We start from the raw sequence: 18,140 nt of genomic DNA, 5'->3' as shown, positions 1-18,140 counted from the left end.
CCTTCTGTCCTCACAGTCCCCTGGGCCATGGTAGGAGAGACTTGCTTCCTTGTTTTCCCCTCCTCAGCAAGCCCTCATAGTCCTTTTTAAGGGTGACAGGTCTTACAGTCATATATCCTTTGATTCAATTCCCTGAGAATCAACCAAAGCAAATTTTTCAAAAGAAGAAACCTGCTATAAAGAGAATCATTCATTGCAACATGATATAAAATAACAACACAATAAAAGCAATTAAATAAACAAACAATAGGGAAATGTTTAAGTTCATCATGGTACTTAGACTTAATGGAATGTCATGCCTTATTTACATTTTTAAACAGGTACTGAGGGACTCCTGTCTGCCAAGGGCCGTATTGAGTACTTTCCACAACCTAATTTAATCCACACTATACTGTGAGATTAAAAACATTCATTAAAATGTTGCAAAGGTTCTATAAAGCTGAGAGACAAATATATTCTATAACTCAGCAATCCCACTTCTAGATGACTGAGTGTCCCCACCCACCAAAAAACTATGCAAGAATGTTCAAAGCAGCTTTATTTACAAAAGCCAAAAATTGGAAATAGCCCGATTGTCCAACAATAGAATGAGTTATTAAACTGTGGTATGTTTATACATTAGAATACCCAATGAGGAGAATTAACAAGCTACAACTATACCTACTCACACAGATGAATCTCATAAAAATAATGTTACATAAGAGAAACTCAATGCAAAAGATATGTTCTGTATGTTTTCATCCATATAAAGTTCAAAACCAGGTAAAAATAAAGTTAGAAATTTGGATGGAAATTACTCTTAGCTGGGGGTGGGCGAGTTAGTGCCTGGGAGAAGACAAGAAGGGGCTTCTGGGGTCTTGGTAATGTTCTGTTCCTCGTGTGGGGTTGTGCAGTTATGATCTGTGCACTGTTCTGTATACACATTATGCTTCAAAATAACTTCACATAAAGAACATCTTATACCCAGTTAATAGATAGAAGAGGAATAAGTAATAGGTCAAGACCACGCAGCTGGTAAGTGGGGGGGCCTGGGATCAAATAGCTACCTGCCTAATCCTGCCCTCTTGAGCCCTGAATGAGTCTGCCTTCCAGGGCTCAAGGTGCTCAACAAAACAACAGGCCTGCTATTTTCCTGGCATCTGTGCCCTGTTTGGCTAGCTAGGAGCACACATACATAGAAATTAAATGAAACAGACCTTCAGCAAGGGGACAGAGGACAGAATTAACCTTGCCCAGACACTGGAAACCCATGTATGAACACTCACATGTTTGGGAAGGGGGAAGGGCACATGTAAATGAGGACTCTTCCTCATTCTATGGGGCACTCTGGCCCTGCCCCTCTCAGCTACTCATCCATCCAACACACCTTTCTAAGTACCTCTCTCTGCCTACACTCTGAAGGGGTTCAGGAGTAACTAACACAGCATCCCTTCCCTCAAATGACTGACAATCCCTTTGTCCTGCTTTGTTTTTCTTTCCAGTCAGTACTGGGAAAGTGGGGAAGGACAGTCATGGAGAAACTACATAAGGAAGCACCTTGCCCTTCTGCCTCTTGAGAATGTTGATGAGTATCAAATCTTTCAAACTTTGGAGGTTTGAGTAGGGGTGAGACTCAGTAATGTCCCTTCCAATGACATGAACTTGCTCACTCATCCCTGGGGGCCAAATTGAACAATCAAAGGCAGGCATAATCCAGCTATGAATTCAAACCTTCTTCTCAGAAGATAACACTCTGAAGGGAAACCCACCCATAACCTAAGCAAGTGAAGACAGGTGCTGCAGGTGGAATTGTGTCCTTCAAAAAGGTATGCTCAACTCCTTGCTCTTGGTACTCATAAATGGGTCACATAAATGTGACTTTATTTGGAAATAGGGTCTTTGCAGAGGTAATCAAGTCAAAATTAGGTCATACTGAAATGTTTGTGAGGATGCGGTGAAAATGGATCATTCATATATTGCTGGTGGGAATATAAAAGGGTATAGCTACTCTAGAAAATAGTTGTCAGTTTCTTGAAAAACTAAACAAAAGACACCTACCATATGACCCAGGAATTGTACTCCTTGGGAATTTACCCCCAGGAAATAAAAACTTATGTCCACACAGAACCCATACATGATTGTTCACAGCAGCTTTATTTGTTGTAGCCAAAGCTAGAAAGAGCCAACCCATCCCTCAATAGGCAACTAGCCTAACAAATTGTAATATATCCATGCCATAGAATGCTATGAGGCAATAAAAAGGAACGAAGTGTTGATACAGAGAACTGGAGTGATTCTGAAGGACTTTCTACTGAGTGAAAAAAGCCAATCTGAAAGGGTCACATACCATGTGATTCCTTTTATGTAACATTGTTGAAGTGACAAAATTATAGGGATAGAGAACAGATTCTGGTTGCCAGGGGTTAGGGTGGTGGGGAAAGAAGAGTAGGCGAAACTATAAAGGGAGATCTTTGTGATCATGGGATAAATCTGTATCTTGATTGCAGTGGTAGTTGCAGGCATCTAGACATGTGATAAAATGACATAGAACTGTACACACTTATTTTATCAATGTCAAATTCTTGGTTTTAATATCGTACTGTAATTACGTAAGAAGTAACCAACAGGAGAAACTGGGTGCAGGACACATCAGACCTCTGTGCTTTATATCCTGTCTTTGCTACTTTCTGTGAATCTATAATTATTTCCAAATAATTTTTTTAAACTTTTTTTTTATGCTGGATCCGAGTGGGCCCTAAATCCAATGACTGGTGTCCTTATAAGAAGAAGGAGATTGGAGATGCAGTGACACATAGGAAGAAAGCCACATGACCAAGGAGGCAGAGACCAGAGGGATGCAGCTGAGAGCCAAAGAGCACCAAGGATTGCTGGGAGCCACCAGAAGCTGGAGAGGTGTGGGATGGTTTCTCCCCGAGAACCTGCAGAAGACACTAACTCTGCCTGTGCCTTGAATTCAGATTTCTGTCTCCAGACCTATGACAGAATAAACTTCTGTTGTTTTACGGCTCTTAGTTTGTGGTACTTTGTTAGGGCAGACCCAAGAAACTACTACAATGGGGATGGCCGAGAAGACAGCGTACCTCTGAAGGAACTCCCTTCTACACTAATGAGCCATACCCCAGCAAGGGTTCACCTCCCCAGGTGGCTGGCAAAATCCACTCACAGAAATCGGGCTCCACAGGTCTGAGAGTTACTCAAATCCAGAAAGTTCAGGTCAGCATGAGTTAAAAGCCAAGCAGACAAGAGATCTAGCCTGCTTCTCCTGAGACGTGGTATGCTTTTGGCTCTGAAAATGAACCTTGGCATGAGAATGCCCTTACTCTGACATGTACAGGCTGTGTGGCCCTGAGCACATTTCTTAATCGGTGTGGGCCTCCCTTTCTCACCTGTAAGGTGCAGATCTGATGGTAATGCCTGATAGGTAAAGAATTGTGAAGATTAAAAGAAATAGCATGAGTAAAAAGCTTAGCACACTGTGGGTTGCATGGCTCCAAAGCTCCCTGGGTCCCATGGTAGATCTAGGGCAGAAGTGAGGCAAGAGAAAGAAAAGGAAAAGAGAAGAAATCAAAGAGGGAGGGAAAAAGAGAAGGGAGGAGAGAAAAAAAAAAGTGAGAAAAATGTGTCTGCCAAGGAAAACCAGGAAGGCCATCCCATGATATGCCCCACCTGTGGTAGGATGGGTATCCTTTCTCCAGGTCAGAGACAGCAGCTTGGCATACTGCGTGGCTCACCAAGCATGAAACAGCAGTCATTCTGAGAGAGAAGAGGCAGGCCCACACCCATGGCACAGAGCCAGACATCAACTGTGGGAGAGGAATGATGCCTGGACATTGGGGGAAAACAGTTTATAGATGCCATGGAGACTAAGACACAGTAAGAAAAATGAAAACTTCCTGGTAGTTGGCAGTGGGGTTAGTATAACAATAAATGTTTAGTGTCACAAGATTGGGGCACTCCAAATGCTAACCACCACCTCCACTGACACTCTTATCAGCCACCTACACCATCCCAAGTACGCTTGGGCACACAATTCCCCTTGTCCCTCCCTCACACTGTCTGTGGGACAAGGAGCTTCACTGGTCTTTTCAAAGTCTTTTTCTGACTCTAATGTCTATACATCAGAGTGAGGTCTTCTGTGGCTTCAAAACTGGACTGTAGCTTTCTATTTTTAACTCTTTTTTCTATGAGAACAAGTTTTTAGAATTCGCCATGTTTCCTAGGTTTGGTGCTAATACATTCGCCCCCACAAGTCCCTGAGCAAGTCAGTAAGTTGAACATATTATTTTGGAGAAAAGAGAAAGGGAGAAGAGAGGATGAGTATACGAATTTTGGAAGAACAATAAATGGAAGATAGAAAGAAATTGGGAAGGGCAGGGAGGAGGAGGTGAAGGAGGAGAAAGAGGAAGCAAAGTCTGACTGATGGAGGATAAGAAATGAAACAGAAAGAGAAAAGAGGAGGACAGATTGATGTTTGTGTGTTTCTTTGTCTTTTCACACCGTGCCTTGTTCCAGGTATTAACAATTCCAAGACTTAACTCTTCAACTGCGTCTCTTCAACCTAACAGCTCTCTTTGTTCTTTCTTGAAACCTGCACCCCCAGTGAGCTCAAGTCCATGTCAGTTCTTTTCATCTTTCCATAGAAAGTGCCCCTTGGGCTGGGTACCTGTGCTGGGGAAGGGGAAGGAGGATTTTTTATAACAGTTATCAGGGTAGGATCTAACATTTTACTAAACTAAATTGTCAACCATAGCAGCTGCTGGAGATCCCAAGCCTGAGTCACTAGGACACGGGCCAGGGGCTCTGCAGCCCTTCCCTCACTGAGGGAGCACAAGTGGGTGACCACCAGGGATCAAGTCAGTCCTTACCATGAGCATGGAGAAATATAGTGAATAAATTATTGGGCTGCTTTACCTACATCATACTGTGCATATAATTGCCTGGGAAAATATGCTCACAAGTCATAATAGCAAGTTACTGCACTTTTGTGCTTCAGTTTTCTCATCTGAAAGGGGGTGGAGGTCTTACTTGTAAGATTGCTGTGAGGATTAAATGAAACAGTTCATATAAAGTTCTAAGCATCAGGCCTAGTATATACTAAGGGATCTATAAATATTTGTTATCATTAGTAATGGAAGGAGTAGCTCAGTGAAATTTGGCTATTGTTTGATTTCCTCCTTGAACTTGTTCTTCAGTCATAACTCTTTCAGCCTTAATGTGCTTGAACCTTGAATTAATTCACGTATGTTCTAGACTTGATATCCAATATCCTGCCACTAGCCACACAGAGTTATTGAGCTCTGGAGATAAGGCCAGTCCATACTAAGATGGGCTATACGTGTAAAAACACATCCAATTTTTAACATTTTGTACAAAAAATACGTGTAAAATATTAATATTTTATATGATTACATGTTGAGATTACCCTGTATATCTTGTGTGCAAACAAAAATATTATTAAAATTGATTGCACAGATTTCTTTTTACTTTTATAACATGGCTAGTGAAAACTTCTAAATTATATATGTGGATCACATTATAATTTTCTGTATTTCCTGCATATTTCTATCAGTCAGTGTTATCTAGATTATTGTAAACTACTAAATGTATCCTTGAAAATGGTCCCAAGCTTTACACAAGAGTTTTGGATCTTGACATTAAGCTGGCCCATGAAGAAATAAGATAGAGTTCCCTGGACTAACACTGAGCACCTAGTCAAGGATTAGAATAAATATTAATCAAAGGATTTTTCTACTTCAACACCCCCACTCTCACCATTATACAGATGAGAAAACTGACAGAGAAATTCTTGCTTCGGGTTATCCAGATCCTAGAAGGCTGGGCTTGTATATACTGATAGTTAGCTCACTATTAATTCCTTTTTACCACTCTCTCTTCTTCCAGTCAATTATTTTCCTGGAAATGCTCTCAATATTTTTTTCTTATAAATACGGGCATAGAAGTTATGACAACATAAGCCATAATTACATAATTGCCCAAGAATATGAACATACTAGAACTCAGACATTGATATGACATATTTTGCACAGAGAAGGAGGTAGACCTAATATATTTATAAATACTAATATATTTGTATGATATGACATATGATGTAGGGAACTGGATGGAGGGAAGCCACTCCCTTGTTCCCCCTCACAATGGCAGCAATAGTGGAGGATATAGAACAGTACAAGATAAGATACACAGTCCTTGCCATTAACGCTCTGCCAATCTAATTGGACAGTCAAGCAATGGATAAGGAAATTGAACTTGCCCCATGAAATAATAGCATCAAGCAGGAAAACAGTTTGGGGATATGGGAAACACTGACCAGTCATCTGTAAACCTCAATCACAATTTAGTCTTTTTTTTTTTTTTTTTTGAGATGGAGTTTTGCTCTTGTTGTCCACGCTGGAGTGCAATGGTGCAATCTCAGCTCACTGCAACCTCTGCCTCCCAGGTTCAAGTGATTCTCCTGCCTCAGCCTCCTGAGTAGCTGGGATTACAAGCATGTGCCACTATGCCCGGTTAATTTTGTATTTTTAGTGGAGACAGGGTTTCACCATGTTCGTCAGGCTGGCCTCAAACTCCTGACCACAGATGATCCACCCACCTCAGTCTCCCAAAGTGCTGGGATTACAGGTGTGAGCCACCGCGCCTGGCCACACTTTATTCTTTCATTCAGTAAGTATGTATTGAATGCCTGAAATGTGCCAGGTACTGTCTTTGATCCTGAGGCTATCACACAGGTAAAACTCCCTGCCTTTGTGAAGCTTATAGTCTAGCTGGGGAGATAAATGATAAAGATTGATAAATTTTAAAATATAGTATTTTAGATAACGACGGGGTAAACAGAGCATTAAAGCAAGGGCAGGAATTGTTGGAGGAGGGTTATAAGTTTTGACAGGGTCATCAGGAAAGGTGTCACTAAGAAGGTAGCATTCAGGTAAAGATTTAAATGAAGTGGGAAGTAAACCATGTGGATAAATAGGTAAGAGCACAGCAGGAACTGCAAATAAAAAGCCCTGAGGTGGGCATGTGCCCGGAGTGCTCATGACACAGGGTTATAGGGAGGGCAGGTCATGTCGGGTTTTGTGGGTCACAGGAAGCATTTCTTTTAAGTGAGATGAGGCTGGTAGGCTTTGAGCAAAATAATAATATTGAGGCCGGAGACGGTGGCTCACGCCAGTAATCCCAGCACTTAGGGAGGCTGAGGTGGGTGGAGTTTGAGACCAGACTAGGCAACATGGGGAAACCCTGTCTCTACAAAAAATATTATACAAACAATTAGCCAGGCGTGGTGGTGTGTGCCTGTAGTCCTAGCTACTTGGGAGGCTGAGGTAGGGAGCCCAGGGAGGTGGAGGCTGCAGTAAGCTGTGATCGTGCTACTGTACTGCAGCCTGAGAGACAGAGTGAGACCCTGTCTCAAAAATAATAAAAATAATAATAATATCATCTGACATACATAAACAGGATTTCTCTGGGTGATCTGATGAGAATAACCCATCCAGGGTGGGATAGGAAGATGTGTGGAAACCCCAGTTGGGAGCCTGTTACATAATCCAAGCAGGAGATGAAGCTACTTTGAAAGTAGCCCTGCCAGGAAGCACTGCTAGTGTTGATGTGGGGAAGAGAGAAAACTGAAGGGGGAATCCAGGGTTTTCAGCCTGATGAATTGGAAGGATAGAGTTGCCTTAACTGAAATGAAGAAGTCTATAGAACATAGGCATAGGTTTGGGAGCTCAACTTTAATTCACCTGGAATTAATTTTTGTGTATAGCATGAGGTAAGGGTCAAGGTTCATTTTTTCCATGTGGATGTGCAGCTGTTCCAGCACCATTTTTTACTTTTATTTTTACTTTTTTTCATAAAATATATATACATTTCATGAGCTGCTGAAAATTCCAGCACTATTCGTGTAAAGACTTTTCTTTCCCATTAGATTGCTTTGGTGCTTTTGTTGGAAATCAAATGACAATGTAAGTTTGGTCTATTTCTATTTTATTTAATTCCCCTAATCAATTTTATTATCCTTATGTCAATAGACACAGTCTCGATTCCTGAAGCTTTAGGAGCTCTGTTTTGGGTACGTTGAGTCTGAGATGTCTATTAGACAACAAAGTGGAGATGTCAGATGGACAACTGGCTATAAGAGTCTAGAATTCAGAAGCAAGAGGTCAGTGCTGGAGACACAAACGTGATGTCATCACCACACACATGGTGTAAAAAGCCATCAGACTGGGAGAGAGTACCTAGCAACGACATACCAAAAAAGAAATCCAAGCACTGAGCCAGGAGGCACTCCAACGTAAAGAAGTCAGCAAGATGAGGAGGAACCAGAAAAGAAGATTGAAATAGACTGGCTAGAGAAGGAGATGAAAAAAACAGGACAGTGTTGTTATCCTAGGATCCAAGAGGAAAAATGTTACAAAGAGGAAAAAATGGATCAACTGTGTCAATTGCTGATGACAAGTCAACCAAGATTAGGAATGGAAATGGGCCATTGGATTTAGCCATATTGGGAATCACTGGTGAACTAGACAAGTGCAGTTTCTATAGAATGCCAGGGGCAAAAGTCTGATCCAAATGGGTTCAAAAGAGAATGAGAGCGAAGAAATTGGAGAGAGCATGCATGGACAATGCTTTCAAGGAGAGAATTAGAAGAGGGAAGGAGAGAAATGAGGTGGTCACTGGAAGGACAAAGGGGCTCTACAGAGGATATATTTTATCTTTTTTCTTTATTTTCTTATTTTTTAATATTTTTCTTATTGATAGTTCTACATGATACACAGGTGAGGGTTTATTTTAAATGGAGAGAAACGACAGCATTTTTAAGTGCTGATAAGAATGATTTGGTAGAAAGGGAAAAGCTGGTGCTGAAGAGGAGAGAAGAGAAATTGCTGGAGCAATGTTCCTGAGTAGGTGAGAAGGGTGGGTGAAGACAGGTAGAGGTATCATCCTCAGCTAGGAACACAGATGTTTCATCCACAGAAACAAAGGAGAAAGAGGTATCCAGGGCACAGATGCAGAGAGGTCCACAGGAGGGCTGGGATCTGTTTGTGATTTCTCCAGTAAATGTGTGTCGCTTAGATTTTGTAGGTTTAGAAGCTTGGGAAAATCTTGAAAATTGAAATGAGCAAGGAAAAGTTCTAGCGAGGGTGAAGCTAAGAGGAGAGAGGATGGGGAGAAGAGTGACTCTCACAGGAGGACATCCTGACCACCTGCCAGTTCCTTTCTTGTTGGCTCCATTTGCAGACCCTTTCCCTGAAAAAACCCTCCATAAACACCCCAACAGACATGCCCTCACCTGCTGCCTTCCCTCTCCTTCTTCCATTCCACTTGCTCCTTTCCTGTTCTCAGATACACAATGTCCTCCTTTCTCCCTTCCTTTTCCTTCCCTCTTCTCTGTCTCTCTCCCCAGTTCCTCTCATCCTTTCCACCCTCCATTGACCTGCCAAACTCTTCTCAGGATCTGAATGGCCCTTACTACCCATATCATGTGGTTATTGATCTCTGTATGAGAACAGTCTGTCTCCCAACTCTGGAACCTTTTGTATCCCTAAAGCTAGCAAGATTCTCTGCACGCAGCCAGAAAAGGGATGACAGAGGAGAGGGTCAAGGGAGTTGGGAGGTAGAGAAGAGGAGGGGACTGACATTTGCTAGCACTGTCACCTGTATGACCCCCTTTGCTGTCATACCATACACTGAGATGTTTCTCATTAGCCCTGTCTCATAGATGAAGAAACAGACTAAGAAAGATTGCATTACGTGTTTGGGATTACGGAGCTAGTAAGACAAAGAATCACTATTTAAACTCAGGTTGTCAAACCCAGACTTCCAAGCCTTTCCCACAGTTTTGCACATGGTAGGTTCTGTGTTGGTTTCCAATAATATCAGTTTGTAATAATAACAGTTAGGTCTCAGTCAGCTCCTTTAAAACTAATAAGGTCAGACTGAATGTTCAGTAAGGGCCTTTCATCTCTATGAATCCTTCTAAAAAAATATACAAGCTTTTATTTCACCATGGGTCCAAGAACAAATAAGAAAGAGCCCCCAATTTATGACACACCATTAAAATATTGATGATCAAAATGAAAAACAAAATAGGCATAAAAGAGATGTATGAAATTGCTGGCAGCTCGGCCCATGCCAACTTGTAACAGGTTTTTATTCTATGATAGTTGTAATGGATACAATGTCTCAACACTGACAAGCAACATGTCACTGAATCTTCCAGCAGCCTCTGGGGTAGCTTGTTTTACCCTCTTTTGCAGATAAAAAAAAAAAAAAAAACTAAGACTTAGAGAAAGTCAATACCATGTCCAAGATCACATCATCAGAAATTCCCAAATCAGGATTCAAAATGAGGCAGCCTGATCAAGAGCCCTAACTCTAAAACACAGTGCTGGTTTCTCAGTAACTACTCTTCATGGTTGCCATTTTCAGAGGCAAAACATCAGTGACTCTCAGAGTGAAAAGGAGCTTGGAAATCAAAGCTCTCATTTAACACATGAGAAGACCCAAGCAGAGACTGAATGACATGACCTGGTAGAGACAGATTTGAGATTCAAGGTCAGTGTTCTTTCTACCTGTTATGTTTTTATAATTTGCAACAATGAACTAATTGCAGACATCTCAAGGGAAGAATTCTGAACTTCTGCAGAAATGGAGAGTCATCAAGCCTAAGACAACTAGGAGGAGTGTTGGTCTAATTTGGAAAAATAACTCATTAATCAAAGGTACCTCTTGGTACCCCAGCATATTCCACCATCACATCCCAGTACTCAGGCCCAAACATGCCCCCAACCAGCCCCACCTCAGACTGGTTATTACAGAGTTTCATGGTTACTTGCCTGAGAAGATTAAAAAAAGTAATGCTACCTTATGAGGGAGAGTCCCAGGGACCAAGATAGCAACTGTCATAGCAACCGTCACACTGCTTTGGTCAAGGAGAAGACCCTTTGGGGAACTGAAAACAGAACCTTGAGCACATCTGTTGCTTTCGCTCCCATCCTCCTCCAACAGGGCTGGGTGGAGCACTCCACACCCTTTCAGAAGTTCCCAAGGCCCCGTGCACCTGGGGTCACAACAGGACCTGGCCAAGGCTGTGTCCAGCACTGGGATGGGAAGTAACACCAACCCCAACCTTGTTTGATATCACTTCACCTAAATGCACTGCTCCATCTCCAGTCCTGGAGTTCTCACCTTGGAAAACCTCAGCCCAGAATAAGTGTCCTCTAAGAGTTCTGATATGGTAACAGGACCTATGCAGACTTCACGTGAGAATGAAGCTGTGAGCAAGCAGGTGCTTCAGGAGACCCAGAAGTGTCCTGGAAATATTTAAGAGCAGCAGGAAACCATTTATGTTGAATAGTTTGGTCATCTCAGAAAAGAGAGGCTGGGAAGAATAAGGATGAACTATACATATCAACCTTTCAGAATATATTTCAGTAAACTTCCTAGAGCCCATGACAGAAGCATTCTCTTCTACCATATTCCCTTTCCATCCATGCATATAACCATCTGTACTTCTATCCACCCATCTGTTGATCCTTCCTCAAGTCATAAGGCTCATTGACAGCCCTTCTACACCAAACAACACCAACTCCAGAGAAAAACCTGTTCATATGCCTGGACGTATGAATGTCCACCTTCACTAATTCCATAGAAATGTATTAGCATTTCCATGTACCTGGCTCTCTATGAAGATTTGCAGATAACATAGTCAACAAGACAGAACTCTCTACCTCAAGGAGCTCCTAGAGTAGTGTATAAACAAATAACCAGAAATTGCAACATGGAGAAATGGAGCTGAGAGGAGTGCCTACAGAGCTCTACGTAAGCACACAGAAGGGGTGCCTAACACATATTGGAGGCCAGAGAAGTTATACCCCTCCTGCCCAAACATTAACCAACCTGGGAATTACCTAACATCAACAGTGTCTTCACACGTCATTCCAATGCTCTAGCCCTCTGATTGGGATACCATGGGTTAGTGAGCTCTCACATGGGAATCTATCACTTTTTTATCCCCTCTTTGTTTGGGGTTACTTGTTTATAATAAAGCAATAACAATAAACCTCTATGTCAACATCACTGTGAACAGCAAATGAAATATTGTGTATAATCCACTTTGTACGGGGCATGGTGCAGAGAAGGTGCTCAATTCACAATCTTTTCATATTCTTAATTACTAACAGGTTCTTGAGTTCAATGGCTGAGCTCAGTGGATATTCTCCCTGCAGTAATTCCACAAATAAACCCTTCTTAATTTTGACCTGATACCTTTGTTTCTTCCAATATGCAATACATCACAATCCTTCCGTTCATCCTTACCTACTTAACATGTAAAAGTGAAAAAAGTCTCTCAATTTTGAAACCTGAAGAAACTGAGCCACAAGGTGAAGGCACTATCTGCCAATACTGTGTCTCACCCACAGGCCTAAGGATCCAGTTCAGTTCAGTGTATTTCCCTTCAGCCCATCCTGCCTCCTGCTCAGTGCCATGATGGAAATTACAAAATGCTGCAAGATTAGGGTGAACATTGGATTTCCCAAAAAACTAATATTTCATACTGAAAAGAAATGTGCATCATCAGCAGCAGTCATCACTATATGATTTAAAGTGGTGCTATCATTCAGCTATCTTCCCAGCCAAAATACCAGTGAGTTAACTGTGTGTTTTGTATCTCTGTGGGAAAGGAGGTTCTAGACTCTAAGATGTGACAAACTCTTCTCGGGCTACATGCCAACTGAGACCTGCCTTCCCAACCTCTTGGTTCATAAGCAGGTAAGTGATAGCATGTTTACTGAAGTCCTCTAGTGACTAGAACTATTTTTTTTTTGTCTTTCATTGTGCAAAGATACAAATAACAAGAAAAAAAGAACCATCACAGAGAAGAAAAAGAAAATAAGTAGACAAAAACAACTTGGGGAATCAGAATATATTCAACCCAATCTCTTACAACTTCTGACCCCACATGTATTCCTAGATTTTTCCATCCTACAGACATTTATGAGCCCCTGGTCCATGTGCTAGAGATAGGGAGGCAGATGAGGGAAGGTACATAAGGAAGAGGAGGACATGGCAACCCCTGTCCTCGTGTTGCTGAGCAGGATTTACAGACACTCACTTTGAGTCCGTTCAGAGCTGCAGCCACCAAATTCAAGCCCAATTCTGTTCCTGGACATGAATAAGAAGGTTTTCTCACCTTTTCCCTTTCAATTTTCACTGTTCTTTCTACTGTATTCTCAAGGATCCACAACTGGGTTTCCAATATATATTTTCCTTTGTCATCCACCAGACAATAATCTAGATGTGAGGAAATTCTGGGTTAAGGATCACTAATCTAAACAAATAATCTGCCCTGGCCTTCAATATTCCTCCAGATTTTTTAATTCTTACTATGCATTTTGTTGTTTTTCTTGTTGTTGTTAAGAAATAGAAAATACTCTGTGGGTGTGAGTGTGGGTGTACACAGCATTTTATTTAGAAAATTGATGTTTATCATTTAATTCTATTGTGTGTGCAACTGAAGTAAATTTTTCAAAGAACTAGGGGAAAGGATAATATACAGACCTTAGAGAAAGAGAAACAATAATAGTGATGGGAATAATGAGAAAGGAAAGAAAAGACAGAGAAACAGAGACAGACTGGGCAGGCTCTGAAGAGCATTGTAACCAGAGGCCCTCCCTAGGAGTGCCCTGGCTGAGGGCTGCTGAGAATTGCTGTGCATTGAGATGTTCATCAGTTAGTCTGCCACTCACTGCACCAGAGCTCTATTGCTGGATGACATAATTTTTGTTAGAGTCTCCACTATATTAACCAGAGCAGCCCACCCAGAATTTGAAAGATTTCCTCAGGTTGCAGCAATAGCAGACAGAACCACTCCAGCCAAAGGGCTAGAAGATTCTGAGGCTTAATGCCTACCACTCCCACCCATCCTTTTAAGATTGACAATGCTTGAGGATGGAGGCACAATATCCTAAATTGACTATTAATAAAACCCAAAGTCCCTGAAACAGGAGAAGCTAAATAAACATATGTGGAAAATGACACAATCTACCCCTCCTTGCCCCCACCCTGGCACACACGCAGGCCTGCAGATACATGCTGCTGTCCAGATACCTTCTGCAGCTGGCTCTCTCCACCCTCAACCTCAATTTGGTTTTCTAATTGAAATTACATTTCCATTGGAAACTCTTGAGCCTTGTTGCTCAGAAATGTAGTAACCCCTAATGATTATGTAAGAAAAAGGAATGTGCTTCTTTCAAGTCTACATTCTGCAGTAAGAGTTGGTAGATACAATTAAACAAGTTCTTAAAAGTTGCATTTTCACTAGGACTACCTGATATTACAGTGGCAAATAGCATTATCACCCATGTTATCAGATTCTTGACACATCCCAAAATAATGAGGCACAAATAAATTGTCAAATGTAAACTAACGAAGCTGTTAGTCTTATAATTCTTATGAGTTGTTTATCTGCAAGTATATCTGAACATGAAAGCCTGGTTCCATTTCCAGCTGACCTAAAAATTCCCACCTCCTGTAAGAGATCATCTGTGAATAATGAGAAACCCTCCTGATTTCACCCAGAATTCACCCTCTCTTTGATTCCCCACAGTACTGTATTCCCTACATACTATCCATCATTTATGTATTTAATTTGTCTAAGTTCCAAGTATTTCTATCTTTATTTCCTATCAAAATATATACTCCTGAAAAGCAAAGTCTTTTGTCCATTATAGAAACTGGCAGTTTCCCGGGGAAACTCTGCACCCAAAAGAACATTTGAAGATCACAATAGTCGTGGAAGACCTCCTTACTTTACTTCCACGTTTCAGTCTATGATTCACCTATCATTTATTGAGGACCTGAACTAGGATTTTTACTCCTTGATCTTTATACAATTCTATATTTATTGTAGAGCTTAGCACAAAGCACAGTGCTTTGGTCATACGAGTATTTGTTGAATAAATAAGTGAGTGAACAAATAAATGAATTGTTGATGATTAATATAAGTTTATAGGGCATTTATGGGGATTGTTTTTCTGTGTGTGGGTTTGTTTGTTTGTTATCTGGATGCACCAACTCACAGAGTGTGACATTACTAACCCAGTTTACAGATGAAGAAACAGGACCAGAAATATCAAGAGACTAGCCCAAGTGGAAAAGTCATCTCTCAGGTACGTGCTCGCTGATTTCAAATATTTTTGCTCCACATGACCACCCACCTGGAACAACACCATTAGACCTGATGGTCCAGGCCTCCGTGAAGAGTTCTACTGCACTGGTAATCCACTTTCCAACTGCGATTTCAGGGACCAGTCAGCTCACTCTTCTGCTGTCCTTGTGCAGCACACCCACCCTTCGTTGCCCTGAGTTCCAAAGCACGCTTCATATAAAAATAGGAGATGGCACCTTCTGAAGCCAGCCAGCTAGAAATGAATTTCCATTTCGCATGATCCCAGATAATCTAGTCCAACTCCACCAACACCACCCCCACCTAGCACCATGGCCGTTCTCACCAGCTCTGTGCACACACAATGGGCACTTACACATAGAGTCAAGAGGATCAGTCCACTTTATTTGTGGAGTGGTTTGACCAGAGGCAAGAGGTAATTGAGTTGCCCAGGAAAGGAGTGCCTATTTGCCCTGAGTGTGTGTGTCTCTCCAGACAAATTTGCCAAACAACCTCATTTGGTTATAAGCATAAATCTTTTTTCCAAAAAAAAAAGTAAAGAAAATGTTCCTTGTGAAGTTACTTCCAATATGTACTCTAAAAAGAAATAATAGATCTATAAAAATTCTAGGGTTTATGTAAAATATTGGTATGATTTTACTCTTGAGTTATGACTTCTATAGATAAGAGAAAGAGTCTCAGAATCACTGAGAAATGTGTTGTTTTGACAAGGGCCCTAACAGTGCAGGGCACAGTTGAGGACATACAAGCACACAGATATCACAACATCTATCCTCAAGGAGCCAGTTAAAAAGAAAAAAATACAATCCTTGCCCAAAAAAAGAAAAATTTTGAAGGGTACAAACAAGGGAAAATTCTAACAGTGCAAATTGGGCACTAATGCTCTAAGAAGAGCCAACTAAAAGTGGCAGAGTGAAGAAGCTAGATTCTAATGAATCAAAAATTTGCATTAAAAAGCTAAAAATGAATTCATAGTCTAGGAGGACAGGAGAGAAGGGGCCAGAAAAACCAGACTACCCTCTTTATTTTAACAAATATGGAGACTGAGACTTCGAGAAGCTGACTGACGTCCTCAACACTATTAGTAGTTAGAGCTGAACCCAGACTGTAAGTCACTTCTCTAGGCTGTCTGTCCATTTCTCCTTCCTCTACTCTACATTCTCAAGCAAAATTAGACAAGGAGGCCCTGAGAAGTTGGCACATGGGGTAAGAAAGAGCCCCAGGCTTCTTAATGGTGGCAGGAATGACTAGAGGGCAGTATGAGCTATCCTGTCTTGTTAACTTCTAATTCAAGGGGGAATGATTTGATCGTTAGATTTATTGGCACAAACACCCAAGTATTTTTTGGACTGGTTAGATTGGACTCATTTGCGTCAAATTGGCTTGCATAGGGTTGAAATGAGTGGCCTGAATCAGATTAAAAGCTGGAAGACCACCAAGGGTCACAGTTGTGTTGCATCTCTTCAGATTGTTTCATTTAAAGGGAACCCACCTACTCAAGCTGTGGAAGGCCAGCCCTAAGTATGCATTACTGCCTACCGGGCACGTCACTGCATGGAGTCCATGTGTTCCAGAAAAGTCAAAACACTTTTAAAGGAAGTTCACAGGGAGTTCTATTGAAAATGAAGGCTCCATCTGCCAAAGTAAAACGTAAATCACCTCTGGAATTACCTGTTTGCTAAGTTGACTGCTTTTCCTTGAAGGAATAGGTACCTCCATTAGAGCTGACCCATTCTTGGGAAAATCAGGCATTTTCTAAAGAAATGGCAGCACAAATCCCTGAGCCCTTATATCAGGGCTCCTAGAAACTCTCCCTTTCTTCAGATTCAATATGAAGTTATAGGCAATTTGAGAAGGAAGATCCACAGAAATATAAATGGAAGAGAGAGGATTCCATCACCTACTGGATTTGTCATACTTTTTTCTCTTAAAAGAAAAAGCAAGCCATTCAAAGGCAGAGATCACGATGAAAACCAGAGAGGAAATCCTGCCCCAGAGAAAGATGGAACCTTAGCCCAGGAACTGGTATATTATGCAATCCAAGTCATACAATGTGAAATTTTTCAAAATGTTTGACTTAAGAAGTGAAAGCCTAATAAAAGGAATGTTTTTGAAATTCATCCAAAAACCCATAACCCTAACACATCTATTATTTTCATTTCCCACATTATATTCTTTTCTAACATTTATCTGAGTATCTTCATACATAGCCATTGACACTATTACTAGAATTTTGTGTTCAAATTCTTTCACTTGCTGTTGTTTCACAGCACTTCTTTTTTTCTACTTATGCATCATATTGACCATTTTGAATGGTGCACATCATTCTATCTTACTAACAGTGCATAATTTCCTTAGCCTTTTCTCCACTGTTGGAACCCATAACTTGCGGTCTTGACTTTTTCTTAGGATGATCAGCTATGCTGGCACTTCACTCTCCAAAATTTGACTCAGAGACCATCCTTTTAAGAATTTACCTGCTCTGCATGGGGTACCTTGTCCTAGGTGTAGCACTGGAAGGATTTTCCAGACTTAATCCATTCTCTGTTTCATATGTATTTATTTTGTCTTATCCAAAATATTGCTAGCTTTCCTTCCTATAGGAGATAGCGTTAAAAAGAAGATAAAATATTGCTAGCCTCTTGAGGTCAGAGGGCCCATCTTAAACTTATTTTTCAGCCTCAAAGCTAATCAATAGCTAGAAGTCATGAAGAGAAAATGGACCTTATTATTTGACCCCAAGTGAACAAGCATTGTCTGAATGCCTAATGTGTATCACTTGCTAAGCAATGTTAAATCCTCTCTCTCATATGATTCACACCATGAATAAGGTATTATTATTCCTAAATTACAAAGAAGGAGACTGGGGTTCAGGGTCAGAGATGGTTGATGGTATAGAGCAAATGGGATGTCAAGATGGTGAGATGATGTGCTTTAA

General features: G+C 41.1%; 1 long non-coding RNA gene across 1 annotated transcript, besides 2 other annotated features; it reads left to right on the top strand.

The window, feature by feature from the left end:
- LOC124907856 (uncharacterized) lies at positions 1,379-3,006 on the top strand. The gene is made up of 2 exons (XR_007087134.1): positions 1,379-1,805; positions 2,729-3,006. It is a non-coding gene; the product is annotated as an uncharacterized LOC124907856 (long non-coding RNA).
- Positions 10,316-11,418: an enhancer, noted in NCBI's record as "amplified fragment containing the chr2:89145079-89146178 (GRCh37) CAGE-defined region". NCBI's record gives its function as "transcribed enhancer in B cells {active_cell/tissue: B cell}" and the evidence as "EXISTENCE:reporter gene assay evidence [ECO:0000049][PMID:24670763]".
- Positions 10,753-10,972: an enhancer, noted in NCBI's record as "active region_16177". NCBI's record gives its function as "activates an Ori minimal core promoter by ATAC-STARR-seq in GM12878 lymphoblastoid cells {active_cell/tissue: GM12878}" and the evidence as "EXISTENCE:reporter gene assay evidence [ECO:0000049][PMID:35858748]".

Source organism: Homo sapiens, chromosome 2 (assembly GCF_000001405.40).
Source record: "Homo sapiens chromosome 2, GRCh38.p14 Primary Assembly".
Lineage (NCBI taxonomy): Eukaryota > Metazoa > Chordata > Mammalia > Primates > Hominidae > Homo > Homo sapiens.
This window is presented reverse-complemented; position numbering and strand designations above follow the sequence as displayed.